Here is an 18,264-nt window from a genome sequence, read left to right as displayed (position 1 = left end):
GAACAGTATTCCTTAGTATAGGGGGACCAATGGGCCCCTTAAAATCTTCTGCGACTGATGTCATAGGTCCTTAAATCTTCAGATGATTTTCTCTCTCAGGGTTGCTTGTGTCTCTCTAGGCCATCCAACATGCTATTTCTTACCCAGTCTATTTTAACTGGTAAATAAAATGGAAAAATGTAACATGCTACAGAATGTCCAGACAGCTCAGGTCTCTGGACTACGTTAGGACAGAGAGTCAAAGAACTAATATACATCTTAGACAAGTCTCTAAATGCATGCTGTTGTCCTTCCCATGAATGTGAATTGCTTCTGGTAAATTTCACTCTAAGTACGGCTTCAGTTATTTTACATATATATTGATCGGTAATCTTTTCATTTTAATTCAATTTTAAGCATGTTCTAATTTTTATTATAATTTCTTCTTGCTTCCATGAATCATTTGGAAGCTGTTTGTAGTTTCTAAAATTCATGGATTACTTTTGGATAAGTTTTTGTTATTGATTTCTAATAGTGCTATTACACAATAGTTATACCAATGTAAACATTTGATACTACCTTTAGGCCTAGTATCTGGTCAATTTTTGTAAATACTCCAAGTGTGCTTGAAAAGAATAGAAATTCTTTAACTGTTGATTAGCCTTACTAATTTTATGTTTATTCAATTACTAAAAATGAAATGTTAAAATCTCTCACTGTGTAGATTTTTTTATTGCTCTTTCCAATTCTAATTTTGGCTTTATTTATTTTGAGACTACATTATTAGGTATCCACAATTTTATAAAAATTAAGAAAAAATTAGAAAAGTTTAGAAAAAAATTAGAAAAATATAGAAAAAGATGTGACAGAAGCACACATGGGCTTTATCTGGATGATCTCTTGTCAGGTTTGTATCCTGGGGAAGGCCTTCACAGCAAGAGATGGACCAGAGGATTGAGACAAGGGGGCCACCATTCAGAAGGGGAGGAGGGCAAAGGAACTCCTGAGGGAGGAAAGGATCAGAGAGGAGGCTTTCATGTCTCAGTGATATCACTCAGCAGCATGGCATGGAGTCTGTAGTTCACAGAGTTCCAAATAACAGAAGCAGTTTGGGGTCTTTACAGCCTAGAGTTTATCTGTGGCAAGCAGATTTTGGACGTAGTTTCCCAGGGCATGTAAATCAGGCAGGATCTAAATGCCTACAAATCTGCATGTCTGGGCTATGTTTAACACAATTGGATGTTTAAAAATTTGAGTTTGGTGCCAGTTGGTTTTTGAGCTAATGGGTTTCAGCTTGCTGTGAAGAAATAACCTAGGCGCCAATACACAGAGGCCATCCTTGTCTCATTTACATTATATGCAGTGACTCTATCCTTTTTTGCTCACAATTGTTTTATTCATTTCTTTTAGATTTGTTTACTTTACTGAGATTATTTGGTAGGTAAGATTTCAGTTTATTGTAGTTTGCTAACTCATTATTCAAAGTGTTCTAATAAAAATTTTGCTCCATCCTTAATCCCCATTTAAACAAAGCTGCTGTGGGTAAGGTCATCAATGGCCTTCGTGTTATCAAATCCATTTTGTTAACAAAATTTTAATGTTTAAAATTTTCTTATGTGTACACATGTTTAATTTATGTAATTTCAAAACGGGGTATCATACATGGAATTTGGTAGTTTTCTTTTCTTTTTTTGTTCACTTACTCTGTTTCTTAAGGCTTTACTGTAACCCACAATGCAATGTCCCCCATATTTATTATGTATGACTGATATTCACATAGAACATATTTTGTCATTAAGTGTTATCTTTTTCCACATAGGTGTTCCTGTCTTTAGTCTTCTATTTTCTCTCTCTCCCGCTTCTCTCCCACCCTTCCTCTCTCCATTTATGTACGTATTTAAATCATTTTAAAAATCATTTTATGTATCACTTCAAAGACTTCAGTGTAAATTGAGGGTCCAATTTTGTTTTATTTGAATTGTTTATTTTCATATATTAATTTTTCATCTACATGTAAATTCTCAGTTTTTTACCACTCTTGCTTATTCTTAATTAATACAATTGTTTTTCTTAATTGATCAATTCCAATAGTTCTATAGTAGGTGCTGATATCTGGTGAGAAAAGTTCCTCTCAATAGTCTTTTTTTTGGTACAATTTTCTGACTATTCTTCTACATGAACTTTAAGATAATTTAATCCAATTTTAAAATGCTTTTGTGATTCTAATGTGAATTTAATTGAATTTATATATAATTTTAGGAAATTAATGTTTTTACAAGAGTTTTGTTTGTTTTTTTGAGACAGGGTCTCACTTTGTCACCCAGGCAGGAGTGCAGTTGTGGGATCTCAGCTCACTGAAGCCCCAACCTCCCACCTCAGCCTCCCAAGTACCTGGTTCTATAAGCATGCACCAAGCCCAATTAGTTTTTTGTTTTGTTTTGCTTTGTTTAGAGATAGCGTTTCACAATTTGCCGAAGCTGGTCTTGAACTCCTGGGCTCAAGCAGTCCTCCTGCTTCAGCCTCCCAAAGTGCTGGGATTACAGGTATGAGCCACTGCGCCTAGCCTCATGTGTTTCTTATTCAATAGCTTTTGGTAACATTTTTATAGTTTTTTCTTATGGATCTTCTTTCTTGGTAAATTTATTTTACCTTTATTATTTTTGTTATTGTGAATATTTTTACCGTTAGCATTTCAAGGTGCTTATTGCTAATATATTTTGTATTATGATCTTATTTCCAAATACCTTACCAATATTCCTCTTTAAAATAGTTGAAAGTTCTGTTTTTCCTAATCTCTATGATTTCCTAGGCATATAATCATATCCACAAAAAGTTTTCTATATATTTATACTGATTATTTCATTTAAAAATCTTGTTACATTCATGGATCCTCCAAGATAATCTTTAACAACAAATAATGACAGCAGCTATTCCTACTGGTTCCTTGTTTTATTTGAAATGTTCCTTTATGATTTAAAATACTTGTTTTGTAGGCATTTCATAAATAACGGTTATGTTTAGACACTTTCCTTCAATTTCTATTTTACTCAAGAATCTTCATTAGGAGTGGATGTTTAATCTTAACAATAGCCCTCTCGGCATCTACTGATATAATCACATTTTCCTCTTCTTTGATGTCAATTATGTAATTGTGTTAATATACTTAACTGATATTGAAATACCCGTGAATTCCTGAAATACAATGCTCTTTGCATAGGCCTGTATTACTCTTTTTTGTTGTTGCAATTATTGATAAAATTGCTGGGTTTTTATTTAGAATATTCATTCATATGTATAAGTCAGATTGGTCTATAGTTTTGGTTTTTTTGTTTGTTTTTTTGTTTTGAGACAGAGACTTGCTCTTTCACCCAGGCTGGAGTGCAGTGGCGTGATCTTGGCTCACTGCAACCTCTGCCTCCTGGGTTCAAGCTGGGATTATAGACATGCACCACCATGCCGGGCTAATTTTTGTATTTTTAGTAGAGACGGGGTTTCGCCATATTGTCCAGGCTGGTCTTGAACTCCTGACCTTAAGTGATCCACCTGCCTTGGCTTCCCAAAGTGCTGGGATTACAGGTGTAAGCCATGGCACCTGGCCTATAGTTTTTTCATATGTTTATAAGGTTTTCATATTAATGCTGCACTGCCTATGTGAAATGAATTGGTTTTTGTTTTTAAAAAAATTTGGGATACTTTAAATAACACTGGAATTATCCTTCTTGCAACCCTAGTACTTTTTAAATTATGGATTTAAAAAATCACTTTACATTCTCTTCTTTGTAACTGGTCTATTAACATTTTAAATTTCTTCTTGGATTAGTTTTGGTCATTTATATTTTTCCATAAAATTACCCATTTTCTCTAGATTTTCCAATGTGTGGCCTTATAGTTGCATGCAGCATTTCAAAGTGAATCTTTCTTTTTTCTTTTCTTTTTTTTTTTTTTTTTGAGATGGAGTCTTGCTCTGTGGCCCAGGCTGGAATGCAATGGCATGACCTTGGCACACTGCAACCTCTGCCTCCTGGATTCAAGAGATTCTTCCACCTCAGCCTCCCGAGTAGCTGGGATTACAGACATCCGCCATCATGCACAGTTAATTTTTGTATTTTTGTAGAGACGAGTTTTCACAATGTTAGCCAGGCTGGTCTTAAACTCCTGACCTTAGGCAATCTGCCCACCTTGGCCTCTCAAAGTGCTGGAATTAATTACAGGTGTGAGCCACCTGTAATTAAAGATTCAAAGAGAATCTTTCTACCTTCATCTTATTTTACTTCTTGGTAGCTTTCTACAGAGTTGAAGATTGTACTTGTGAGTTTTGAGTTTCTTGATTTGTTGAATGGATGTGATTAATTTATATCTTTAGTGTGATCATGCAGAGAAGTGTATGAGGGATAGTGATGGAAAATTACAGGAAATCTGAAAATTTAATAAATAGTTGGCATTTTTGTTTTCTCACTAGTACAGGGTTCATCTCAGTAATTATGAAATGTACTACCCTTTTCTCCTTTTCTATATTATTTTGGAAAATTACAGCCTTATAATAGAGATCAGAAATGTGTTAACATTATGGCTGATCTGTCTGACAACAGTGTTCTAAGAAAACAGTATCACAAATATACTTTCTCACCATAATTGTTCAAAACAGAAATTTTGTAAGCAAAGAATCAAGCATTTAAACCAAAGGAAAGTTAGAGTGATGTCATCTCTGGTTGAAAAACACAGTCTTTCTGAACAGATTTTCAATGTCCTTGAAGACCATAAGTAATATAAAATTACACAATACATTTGCTAATAATATGAACTGTACACTTTTTATATGAAAATGATGCTTGCTACAACATGACTTTACTAAATTGGATTTCTGCAAAAGATAAAACACCAGGCATGGTTGCTCACACCTGCAATCCCAGCACTTTGGGAGTGCTGAGGCAGGGAGGATCACTTGAGTCCAGGACTTCGAGACCAGCCTGGGTAACATAGTGAGACTCTGTCTCTTAGAAAAGTAAAAAATTAGCCGGGCATGATGAAGCATGACTGTAGTCTCAGCTGCTTGGGAGGCTGAGGTGGGAGGATCACTTGAGCACAAGAGGCTGAGGCTGCGGTGAGGTAAGATCACGCCCCTGCACTCCAGCCTGGGTGACAGGGCCAGACTTTGTCTCAAAATATATGAAAGTAGATAAAATTAGTTTACTTGCTGAACATAATCAAATATAGCAACTTTCTAGTAAAGGACTATTAGGACAAACTATGTTAACACAACCTCAGATGATGCAGCATAGTTAAAACAAAACAAAACAGCTTTGGGCATATTCTATACTCCAACCTCTGTGGTGCAAAGGGACTATATGGCCAACTAGGTGTTGAGGCAGTCACAGAACTGCTGCACATGTGGTTTTTAAACAAGATTTTTAATTCCCCCTAAAGTGGAAGAAGTCATCTAACAAAATTTATTATGACTTGAATTGCTACTTCTTTATTTAGTTTTCCTCAAACTTTAACAAAATAAATTATGTTGTAAATTATAGTCATTAAGCTTGAAAAATGTTTCAATTGAATGGGAAAACTTCCTGTGATAAAACCTCCAATCATCAAGGAATAAGTCAATATATTTTAAGCATTAATTTTCCAACATGTTAAGCACTAAGCTTTTAACTAAATAGCTAAGGGGAAATTGTTGCCACCGAATGCAACACATATCCTGCCTTTTTAAATAACACACACTACTTATCTTGATTCCAATTCATCACTAAACATCACTTGTATAATTTGATCACAGTGATGTCCTCAGAGACAGTTGTATGCAGAATCCTATAAATTGTCTCAAGCTGCTATGCTTTTAATATTCACCTTAAATTTATTTTTGTTCCCCTGCCTTGCTGTCAGCTGTCACATTTTATAGTTCACCCCTTCTGCAAGACCCTTTCGATACTTGTGATTTGTTAGGAAGCAGAAATCAGATAACCTAACTTGATAGAATTCAATGTGAAGTAAGAATAAGTAGACTCTGGGTAGCTGCTGCCTCTACCATTAAAAATTTTTTAAAAAGAAGACTTTTCAATTACCATTTAATTTGAGCTTGACTTACCTAGACTACTATTAGTCAATATTAGTTTAACAGAGGGAAAATTGTTAATAAAGTAGATCTAATATGTAAACACATACATCATTCCCTTGTTCTGGATCTATCAATGATTTCATACTTTGACTATATCTAAATTATCTGCTTTTCCTGGCCTTCAATGTGGTCTTTAATTCAGCCCTGCTTTCCATGGGTTAAATTTCCTACAATGCTGAGATGTTTATATTGGTTTCCTCCTGTCCTATGAACTTCATACTGATTTCTGCCCCAATAAATTGGATTAGATGAAGAAAAAAAGACTTTTTTTTTTTTAAGATAGGGTTTCACTCCTGTTGCCCAGGCTGGAGTGCAGTGGCACAATCTTGGCTCACTGCAACCTTGGCCTCCTCAACTCAAGAGATTCTTGTGCCTCAGCCTCCCGAGTAACTGGGACTACGCGTGTGCCAGGTGCCCGGTTAATTTTTGTATTTTTTTGTAGAGATGAGATCTCACCATGTTGCCCAGGCTGGTATGGAACTCCTGAGATCAAGTACTCCACCCACCTCAGCCTCCCAAATTGCTGAGATTACAGGTGTGTAGTCACTGCACCAAGCCAATGAGGCACTCACTTCTGAATAAAGTACAAGCATTAGTAACATCTCCCCTTGTCTCTCCAGATTGGTGATGCTGCCACAACTGAATTCTAAATGGGTTAAGTGTTATACAATTAGTTAAGTTTCTTTGGTAGGTATCAAATAAAACATCCACCTAAATTCTTAAGAACCTTGTTAAATAGTGGAATTTACAAACTCTTTATACAGATTCTGATAGGACATTTCTATTGGAAGACTATGGAATCACAATGAGGAAGGTAGTACTATATAGATCAGCAGCTGGCTTAATTGGCTTCCTGTAACTTATTAACAAATTAGGTTACAAAATACAAAGGCAACTTAATGAATCATCATATTTGGCATTGAACTCAAAGCTGAATTGTGTGAATTGTGAGGTGCTTTCCATAATTCAACTTGCTTAATTACCCATATGAATGAATCATTCATACCTCAAGCCTGCTAACACTTTTGGATACCTGATGTTTATGTAATGGTGGTGCTCATTTGCTGAGTAAGGCATGAGTAGTTTCCTAGGTAAGCAGAAGTAGCCCTCAAAACAATCATAATGTGACACAGTAACAACAGGGCTGTATTTTGAAGGCTCTAGAAACCCAAGACATATTTCAAGAGCCAAGTTACTTTTTTTTTTCCTTTACCACTTATCCTCAAGTTCTACAAGTTACTTATACTGTATCAATTCAAATACATTTGGTTATTAGATGTCTATTTTTTAAAGATGGACAAGATAAAATTGTGTAAATTTACAAGAAGTAATGGAAACTGCTAATAATGCTTATTTAAAAGAGTTATTAAAGAAACAGCTTACTACCAACCCTAGGCTTCTGAAAAATTTGCACAGGTGGGAAAAGATATGGGCATAGCTCTTAGCATATTTTAACAACTGAAAATGTGGCAGGGAAAAAGTCTTTATTCTGAGAGTATAACCATCTTACTTTTGGGGTATTAAAATTACCTTTTATGAGATAATTCATTTTCAATGTTATTTGACAAAATTCAAAGTTGGTCATTCATTTTAGTCTCCTCATTTTTAGTAAATTTACCTCCTGTAAAATCTAAGTTATGGGAACCACTAGAACATGTGTGAAAACAAGTTGCTGTGAGACGCAGTGACAGATTTTACAAAAAGAAAAGCATTTCATGACCACAGACCAGGATATACAAAATTTTGGTGAGGTGGATTTTTTCCAAAGTCTGGTGACCAACTGTGGAAAAATAATTGGTTAATCTGACAGTGAGGCCCCTTAACAGTGTTGAAGAAAATGTATCCAAAAAAAATACCCTAGAGTCAAAGAAGTGAGAGCAATGCTGTATTTATCCCCCACTGACATGTGAGGAAAGAACAATAATTTTAGACATACACCTTGTAAAACTTCTCAAAAACCAGACTACATTTCTAACTCTAAAATACATGCTGCTGGTCATGAAGATGTTCTGATCATATAATTGAACCTACTGACATTACATGTAATAAATTAAAAACCCAAGTACCATGCTTAGTGTAGTGTCTGGTACATACACGTTCTCAATAACAATTAGTTTTATTTCTAGAAGGATTACCTCTGCCTCTTGTACCTTCTTATAAAAAGAAAGCAAAGTGAACTGAATAAATTGTGTCTTAAATAGACTAAAGAAAAGCTTTTGTGTTTGTCTTTTCTCAACTAAGCAATTTCCATAGTGCCTAGCAAGGTCTCAGAAATGCACTCAGTGAAGAGGGTTAAATGGTAACTCTTTCAGAACAGAAAGGATTCCCTACAGAGCCCAGCAGAGGCAGAACACTATTTTGCCCAGCCTGGCCTTGAACTCCTGGGCTCCAGCACTGCAGCCATCCTCCCACCTCAATCTTCCCAGCAGTTAGGACTACAGGACTGTGCCATGGCACCTGGCTAAGGATAGCTATTATGAGAGTAGTAATGTAAGATGAAACTAAAAAGACTCATAATAGTAGAATTAAAAAGCACAAAAATTTTAAAGATTCTCCGGTACGTTTATTTCACAAACTTTTTTGTACAGTTGACCCTTACACATGGGTTTGAACTGGGTGGGTACACTTATGCGCATACTTTTTTCAATCAAATGCAGGTGAGGTCACACAGATCAGCATTTGTGCATGGGATGTGAAACTCATGTGTATGGAGGGTCAATTGGAGGGCCAACTTTTCTACATATGGGTTCTGCAAGACTTTCTGTGAGACTTGAGTATGGGCAGATTTTGGTATATGTGTGGCCCTGGAACTAGTCCCCAGTGTATACAAGGGATGACTGTATTTTAATGGTTTATAGTGTTAAAAAGAGAAAAATGTCCACGTAACCACAATTTTGAACACTGAACTATTTTAATATGAATTAATATGTCTTATATTTATTACCAATTGATCTTCAAATTGCAGCAGCCCATGAGTTTTGTTGTAAGTGTTCTTGCCTTTCCACCCCAGCTGTCACTGAGTCAAACAGTTTAAAATATACACACACACAAACAGACACAAGCCTTTTGTAAAGTAAACAAATCTTTTATACTGTAAATAACTGTTCCTCAATGGAACTTTTTGTATCCAGTTTACTTCTTTTCTAAAGCTGGGATATTCATATTAAATACCCAACAATCTCTATAAAGCAAAGAGTCTATCTCTGTGAAAACACAAGTAATTCTTGATGGCAATATTTTTCTTAATTCACCTAAACAAATGCAGTTTGGAAGGCCAAAAGGAGAAAAAAACACTTCAGATTATCAAAACCAAAAGAGATATGAAAAAATAACATTTAACAATGTAGGCAGAAATTTTAAATACAAGATCCTGTTGAAAATATTGATATTCAAATAAACAAACAGCTTTGGATCCATAGCCACAATTTAGGTTTTCCTAAATTAAAATCAGAAGTGATTTTATTATTGGAAGATACATTAATTCTTTGAAGTCAGAATAAGAGGCTTGACAATTTAATTTCTAATTAAGTGACTGAATAGACAAAGGATCAAATACAAACAGTAGTGCAGGAAGAAAATAAATTGGAAGAAATAATTGTTCAACCAGTAGTAATAATTAAGACCACCATTTTAAAATTTTCTGTACACAAAGAATGAGAAAACATTGTTATAATATTATTATTATACTTCTTTCTTTTTCAGTATTAGTGGACCCACATTATCTCCTGTCAATTCATTGTGTTTATTATGTGAACCATCCCAGGCAGGAAACTAAAAAGAAAAAAGAATTACAAGTGTTATTTTTAAAATATGATTCATTAGGTAGAAACATTTGTGAAATGCTCTCAGAAAGAAAGAATATCACTTGCTAAAAAAAATCATATCGTTTTCCTGAGTAATAGTTACATTTTACATCCAACTGAACCATATTCAAAATCTAACAATTTAAACAGTTACTTCATTATTTGGTTTAGATTTTAAGTAAAAACCTATGAATGATTCCATATGAGTGATTAAAACAGACAACAGGTTTAAAAGGGAATCAAAGAAGTTCTTGGTCATTTGTGGAGCTTAAAATTCGAGCTCAGCTATTGCTTAATTTTAAAACAATGGAATTTAATTCAAAATAAGTTATAATTTTTTCTTGCTATAAAACTCATGCATACCACACAATTTTTGAAAACAAAAATATATTTTAGGCTGGGTGCGGTAGCTTATGCCGGTAATCCCAACACTTTCGGAGGCAGAGATGGACAAATCACTTGACATCAGGAGTTCAAGACTAGTCTGGCCAACATGGCAAAACCCCATCTCTAACTAAAAATACAAAAGTTAGCTGGGCGTGGTGGCATACGCCTGTGTCTCGGGTACTTGGGAGGCTGAGGTGGGAGAATTCCTTGAACCCAGGAGGTGGAGGTTGCAGTAAGCTGAGATCATGCCATCGCACTCCAGCCTGAGTGACAGAGCAAGACTCTGTCCCCGCAAAAATAAATAAAGAATAAATAAAAATAAATTTAAAAAAATTCACTCATAACCCATCCAGATATAGGTAATAATAATTAACAGTTTTTTTTTTTATCAAACTCCCGCTTGGGGGAGTGGGCGTAGCCCAGCAGCCGGTGTTCCTTACTAGTGAAAAAGCTGGGGTTGGAGATGCCACGGGGGGAGGTGTGGGGGGCCTAGGGGGCTCTGCTTGGACCTTCTGGGTGTCCTCCTGTGACCTCAGGTTCCTCACCTGTCTCAGAGGACTGATGGGCTGCTATGGCAGCTTTGTTTGGAGGATTAAGACAGATAGTCCCAGTAAAGCCCCATTAGCCCCACCTCCACCCCCCGCCCTCTGGATTTTTTTTTTATTATTATTATTTTTCTGGCTTTCTGAGGAAACTTTCCGGAATGTGTCCAGGAGTTGAAGCGGGAAGGCTGGACACCCTCCCTTGGCGTTGCCGTTCCTTCCAGACGCCCCCTCTTCTTAGGCTCTTTTCAAGCGCACGCCAGGCAACATGTGCTCTACCCAAGTGCACTTCACAGATCTTCCTGTGGGTCTAAAACCAGAACGCTTTCTTCCCTGACCCCTGCCCTCGTATCACCCCAACCCCAAGTCTTTTGGCAGAGCCGGCTACAGACTCGAGTGTCAGTTTAATGCTTGTTCCCTAAGGTCTCCCCAGGGCTCTTAGGACAGCGTTAGGTTTAGGATTCGGGTTCGGGTGCGCCTTTCGGCGCCCTGCGCGGTCGCCATGTGCCTTTGGGAGGGCGGAGCTGCGTTCTCCTCAGCACAGGATGAGGTGTGTTCTGCTCAGCACAGACCCGGGGAACCACCACGAAGGCAGAGCAGCATTCTCCTCAGCACAGACCTTGGGGGCACTGCCTCGCTTTGGGACAACTCGGGGCCGCATCGACGGTGAATAAAATCCTTCCTGTTTGCAGCCCTGAATAATCAGGGTCAGAGACCAGTTAGAAGGGTTCAGTGTGGAAAACGGGAAACCAAAAGCCCCTCTGAATCCTGCCCACCGAAGTTCTCCCCTGCCAAGGCGAGGCGGCCGCAGTGCGAGATCCACACCGCAGTCTCAGAAGACAAATGCAGCATTCCTAATGCAGACATGACACTCAAAATATGACACCCCCATTGCTCATGTAACAAGCACCTGTAGTGCTAATGCACTGCCTCGACACAAAAACATTAATATAAGATCCACAATCCCCTCGCTGCCATGCAGTCCTAAGACAGCAATCATAATAATCAACATTGACATAGTCAATACAAACGTAGTAACGAACCTAGGTTTAAGGTTGATGTTAGGGTTAGGGGTTAGGGGTTAAGTTTAGGGTTAGGGGTTGGAGATAGAAGTTGGGGTCAGAGTTAGGGGTTAGGAGTCAACGTTTAGAGTTAGGGGTTAAGAGAGGTTAGGGGTTAGGGATTAGGGGTTAGGGTTGGGTTAGGGTGAGGGTGAGGGTTGGAGTTAGGGCTTAGGGTTAAGGTTAAGGGTTAGGGTTAGGGGTTAGGGTTATGGTCAGGGGTTAGTGGTCAGGGTCAGGGGTTAGGGGTCAGGGTCAGGGGTTAGGGGTCAGGGTTCCCACTCTGATAGTTGTCTATTTACTCTGCTGACTGTTCCCTTTGCCATGCAAAAGCTATTTAGTTTAATTAAGTCCCAGCTATTTAGCTTTGTTTTTATTGCATTTGCATTTGGGTTCTTGGTCATGAAATCCTTGCCTATGCCAATGTCTAGAAGGGTTTATCCAGTGTTACCTTCTAGAATTTTTATAGTTCAGGAATTAGGTTTAAGTTCTTAATCCATCTTGAGTAGATTTTTGTATAAGGTGAGAGATGAGAATCCAGTTTTACTCCCCTACATGTGGCTCACCAATTATCCCAACATCATGTGTTGAAAAGGGTGTCCTTTCCCCACTTTATGTTTTTGTTTACTTTGTCGAAGATCAGTTGGCTGTAAGTATTTGGGTTAATTTCTGGGTTCTCTTCTTCTGTTCCATTGGTCTATGTGCCTATTTTTAAACCAGTACCATGCTGTTTTGGTAACTATGGCCATATTGTACAGTTTGAAATCAAGTAGTGTGATGCCTCCAGGTTTGTTCTTTTTGCTTAGCCTTGGTTGGGCTACATGGCTCTCTTTTGGTTCCATATTAATTTTAGAATTGTTTTTGTAATTCTTTGAAGAATGATGATGGTTTTCAGATGGGGATTGCATTGAATTTGTAGATTGCCTTTAACAGAATGGTAATTTTCACAATATTGGTTCTACCCAACCATGAGCATGGGGATGTGTTTCCATTTGTTTGTGTCATCTATGATTTCTTTTCTTTCTTGGTCTTTTTTTTTTTTCAGAGGGAGTTTCGCTCTTGTTGCTGAGGTGGGAGTGCAATGGTGTGATCTCAGCTCACTACAACTTCTGTCTCCTGGGTTCAAGCAATTCTCCTGCCTCAGCTTCCCGAGTAGCTGGGATTATAGGCATGCGCCACCGTGCTTGGCTCCATCTGTGATTTCTTTCAGCAGTGTTTTGTAATTTTCATTGTAGAGGTCTTTTGATTCCTTTGTTAGGTATATTCCTAAGTTTTTTTTGTTTGTTTGTTTTTTGTTTTTTGCAGCTATTGTAAAAGGGGTTGAGTTCTTGATGTGATTCTCTGCTTGGTAGCTGTTGATGCATAGAAGAGCTACTGATTTGTGTACATTAATCTTGTATCTGGAAACTTTGCTGAATTCTTTTATCAGTTCTAGGAGCTTTCTAGAGGAGTCCATAGGGTTTTCAAGGCGAAAGATCATATCGTCAGCAAACAGTGACAGTTTGACTTCCTCTTTACCAATTTGGATTTCCTCTATTTACTTCTTTCGTCTGATTGCTCTGGCTAGGACTTACAGTAGTATGTTGAAGAGGAGTGGTGAGAGTAGGCTCCTCATCTTGTTCCAGTTCTCAAAGGGAATACTTTCACCTTTTCCCCATTCAGTATTATGTTGGCTGTGGGTTTGTCACAGATGGCTTTTATTACATTAAGGTATGTCCCTTGTATGCCCATTTTGCTGAGAGCTTTAATCATAAAGCAATGCTAGATTTTGTCGAATGCTTTTTCTGCATCTGTTGATATAATCATGTGAGTTTTTTTTAATTCTGTTTATTTGGTGTATCACATTTATTGACTTGCGTATGTTAAACCATTCCTGTATCACTGGTATGAAACCCACTTGATCATGGTGGATTATCTTTTTGATATGTTGTTGGATTCAGTTAGATAGTATTTTGTTAAGGATTTTGGCATCTGCGTTCATCAAGGGTGTTGGTCTGTAGTTTTCTTTTTTGGTTATGTCATTTCATGGTTTTGGTATTAGGGTGATGCTGGCTTCATAAATGAATCAGGGAGGGTTTCTTCTTCCTCTGTCTTGTGGAATAGTGTGAAAGGATAGGTATCATTTCTTCTTTGAATGAAAGAAGACATTCTTTGAATGTCTGGTAGAATTCTGCTGTGAATCTGTCTAGTCCTGGGCTTTTTTTGTTGGTAATTTGAATATTACCATTTCGATCTTGCTGCTTGCTTTATTGGTCTGCTTGGGGTATCTACTTCTTCCTGATTAAGCTAGGAGGGTTGTATTTTTCCAGGAATTTATCCAACTCTCCTAGGTTTTCTAGTTTATGTGCCAAAAGGTGTTCATAGTACCCTTGAATAATCTTTAATATTTCAGTAGTGTCAGTTGTAATATCCCCTGTTTCATTTCTTAGTGAGGTTATTTGGATTTTCTCTCTTCTTTTCTTGGTTAATCTTGCTAACGGTCTATCAATTTTATTTATCTTTTCAAATAACCAACTTTTTGTTTTATTTATGTTTTGTATTTTTTTGTTGTTGTTGTTGTGTCAATTTCATTTAGTTCTGCTCTGATCTTGGTTATTTCCTTTGTTTGCTGGGATTGGGTTTGGCTTGTTCCTGCTTCTCTAGTTCCCTGAGATGTGAACTTAGATTGTCTGTGCTCTTTCAGACTTTTTGACGTAGGTGTTTAGAGCTACAAACTTTCCTCTTCGCACTGCCTTTGCTGTCTCCCAGAGGTCTTGATAGGTTGTGTCATCCAGTTCAAAGAAATTTTTTACATTTCCATCTTGATTTCATTTTTCACCCAATGCTCATTCAGGAGCAGGTTATTTAATTTCCATGTATTTGCATGGTTTTGAAGATTCCTTTTGGAGTTGATTTTCAGTTTTATTCCACTGTGATCTGAGAGAGTGCGTGATACAATTTCAATTTTCTTAAATTTATTGAGACTCGTTTTATGGCCTATCATATGGTCTATCTTGGAGAAAATTCCACGTGCTGTGGAATACAATGTGCATTCTGTGGTTTAAATCCAGTGTTTCCTTGTTGACTTTCTGTGTTGATGACCTGTCTAGTGCTGTCAGTGGAGTATTGAAGGCCCCCACTATTATTGTGTTGCTGTCTATCTTATTTCTTATATCTACTAATAATTGTTTTATAAATTTGGGAGCTCCAGTATTAGGTTCATGTATGTTTAGGATTGTCATATTTTTCTGTTGGATGAGGCCTTTACCATTATATACTGTCTGTCTTTGTCTCTTTTAGCTACTGTTGCTTTAAAGTTTGTTTTTTCTCATATGAGAATAGCTTCTGCTGCTCACTTTTGGTGTCCATTTGCATGAAATGCCTTTTTCTACTACTTTCCTTAAGTTTATGTAAGTTGTTATGTGTTAGGTGAGTCTCCTGAAGGCAGCAGATAGTTAGTTGGTGAGTTCTTATCCATTCTGTGGTTCTGTATCTTGTAAGTGGAGCATTTAAGCCATTTACAACCAACATTACTATTAAAAAGTGAGGTACCATTGCTTTCATCATGCTCTTTGTTGCCTCTGTACATTGTTTTTGTTTTCTGTTTTTGCTTTTTAACTTGTATTTTTGTTTTATAGGTCTTGTGTGATTTATGCTTTAATGAAGTTCTGTTTTGATGTGTTTCCAGGATTTGTTTCATGATTTAGAGCTCCTTTTAGCAGTTTTTACAGTGCTGGTTTGGTAATGGCAAATTCTGTCAGCATTTGTTTGTCTGAAAATGACTGTATCTTTCCTTCATATGTGATGTTTAGTTTTGCTGGATACAAAATTCTTGGCTGATAATTGTTTTGTTTGAGGAGGCTGAAGAAAGGACCCCAATTCCATCTAGCTTGTAAGGTTTCTGCTGCAAAATCTGCTGTTAGTTTGATAGATCTTCCTTTATAGGTTACCTAGTGCTTCTGTCTCACAGCTCTTAAGATTCTTTCCTTTGTCTTAACTTTGGATAACCTAATCACAATGTACCTAGGCTAAGATCTTTTTGTGATGAATTTCCCAGGTGTTATTTGTGCTTCTTGTATTTGGATGTCTAGGTCTCTCACAAGGCCATGGAAATTTTCATTGATTATTCCCCCAAATATGTTTTCCTGGCTTTTAGAATTCACTTCTTCCTCAGGTACACCAATTAGTCTTAGGTTTCATCGTTTAACAGAATGCCAGACTCCTTGGAGGCTTTGCTCATATTTTCTTATTCTTTTTTCTTTGTCTTTATTGGATTGGGTTAAATCAAAGAACTTGTCTTCGAATTCTGAATTTCTTTCTTCTACTTGTTCAATTCTATTGCTGAGACTTTCCAGAGCATTTCACATTTCTAAAAGTGTGTCCAAAGTTTCCTGATTTTTTTTTTTTTTTTTTTTTTTTGATAATACTTGGGTGTTTCTCACAGAGGGGGATTTGGCAGGGTCATGGGACAATCGTGGAGGGAAGGTCAGCAGATAAACAAGTGAACAAAGGTCTCCGGTTTTCCTAGGTAGAGGACCCTGCGGCCTTCCGCAGTGTTTGTGTCCCTGATTACTTGAGATTAGGGAGTGGTGATGACTCTTAACGAGCATGCTGCCTTCAAGCATCTGTTTAACAAAGCACATCTTGCACCGCCCTTAATCCATTTAACCCTGAGTGGACACAGCGTTTCAGAGAGCACAAGGTTGGGGGTAAGGTCACAGATCAACAAGATCCCAAGGCAGAAGAATTTTTCTTAGTGCAGAACAAAATGAAAAGTCTCCCATGTCTACTTCTTTCTACACAGACACGGCAACCATCCGATTTCTCAATCTTTTCCCCCCCTTTCCCACCTTTCTATTCCACAAAGCCACCATTGTCATCCTGGCCCGTTCTCAATGAGCTGTTGGGCACACCTCCCAGATGGGGTGGTGGCCGGGCAGAGGGGCTCCTCACTTCCCAGTAGGGGCGGCCGGGCAGAGGCGCCCCTCACCTCCCAGACGGGGCAGCTGGCCGGGCGGGGGGCTGACCCGCCCACCTCTCTCCCGGACGGGGCGGCTGGCTGGGCGGGGGGCTGACCCGCCCACCTCCCTCCCGGACAGGGCGGCTGGCCGGGCGGGGGGCTGACCCCCCCACCTCCCTCCCGGATGGGGCGGCTGGCCGGGCAGAGGGGCTCCTCACTTCCCAGTAGGGGCAGCCGGGCAGAGGCACCCCTCACGTCCCAGACGGGGCGGCTGGCCAGGTGGGGGGCTGACACCCCCACCTCCCTCCCGGACGGGGCGGCTGGCGGGTGGGGGACTGACCCCCCCACCTCCCTCCCGGACAGGGCGGCTGGCCGGGCGGGGGGCTGACTCCCCCACCTCCCTCCCGGACGGGGCGGCTGGCCGGGTGGGGGGCTGACCCCCACCTCCCTCCCAGATGGGGCGGCTGCCCGGGCGGGGGGCTGACCCCCCCCACCTCCCTCCCGGACAGGGTGACTGCCAGGCGGAGACGCTCCTCACTTCCCAGATGGGGTGGCTGCCAGGCGGAGAGGCTCCTGACTTCTCAGACGGGGTAGCTGCCGGGCGGAGGGGCTCCTCACTTCTCAGATGGGGTGGCCGGGCAGAGGCGCTCCTCACATCCCAGATGGGGCGGCGGGGCCCTGATTTTTTTTTTAATTTAAGCTATCTATTTCCTTGAATGTTTCTCCCTTCACTTATTGTATTATTTTTTGGATTTTCTGGCATTGGGCTTCACCTTTCTCTGGCCCCTCCCTGATTAGTTTAATAACTAACCTGAATTCTTTTTCAGATAAATCAGTGATTTCTTCTTTGTTTGGATCCATTGGTGATGAACTGGTGTGATTCTTTGGGGGGTGTTGAAGAGTCTTGTTTTGTCAGATTACCGGGGTTGGTTTTCTGGTTCCTTCTCATTTTGGTAGACACTGTCAGAGGAAAGGTCTAGGGCTGAAGACTGTTGTTCAGACTCTTGTCGCACGGAGTGTTCCCTTGATGTAGTACTCTCCCCCTTTTCCTATGGTCATGGCTTCCTGTGAGCTGAAGTGCATTGATTGTTGTCTCTCTTCTGGGTCTAGCCACCCAGCAGGTCTACCTGGCTTTGGGCTGGTACTAGGGGTTGTCTGCATAGAGCCCTGTGATGTGAACCATCTATGGTTCTCTCAGCCATGGATACCAGCGCCTGTTCCAGTGGATGTGATGAAGGGTGCAGTAGACTCTGTGAGGGTCCTTAGCCTTAGTGGTTTAATGCTCTATATTTGTGCTGGTTGGCCTACTGCCAGGAGGTGGTGCTTTCCGGAAAGCATCAGCTGTAGTAGCATGGAGGTACTGGCAGTGGGCAGGGCCCTAGGACTCCCAAGATTATATGTCCTTTGTCTTCCACTACCAACTTAAACATTTGTGACA

At 39.2% G+C, this 18,264-nt stretch overlaps 2 annotated features.

Annotated features, from left to right (window-relative positions):
- Positions 16,479-16,979: an enhancer, noted in NCBI's record as "H3K27ac hESC enhancer chr2:92040307-92040807 (GRCh37/hg19 assembly coordinates)". NCBI's record gives its function as "activates a minimal SCP1, AML or CMV promoter by ChIP-STARR-seq in naive H9 embryonic stem cells {active_cell/tissue: H9 hESC(naive)}" and the evidence as "EXISTENCE:reporter gene assay evidence [ECO:0000049][PMID:30033119]".
- Positions 16,980-17,480: an enhancer, noted in NCBI's record as "H3K27ac hESC enhancer chr2:92039806-92040306 (GRCh37/hg19 assembly coordinates)". NCBI's record gives its function as "activates a minimal SCP1, AML or CMV promoter by ChIP-STARR-seq in naive H9 embryonic stem cells {active_cell/tissue: H9 hESC(naive)}" and the evidence as "EXISTENCE:reporter gene assay evidence [ECO:0000049][PMID:30033119]".

Source organism: Homo sapiens, chromosome 2, assembly GCF_000001405.40.
Source record: "Homo sapiens chromosome 2, GRCh38.p14 Primary Assembly".
Taxonomy (NCBI): domain Eukaryota; kingdom Metazoa; phylum Chordata; class Mammalia; order Primates; family Hominidae; genus Homo; species Homo sapiens.
The sequence above is the reverse complement of the archived record's forward strand: the minus strand, read 5'-3'. Positions and strand labels throughout refer to the sequence as shown.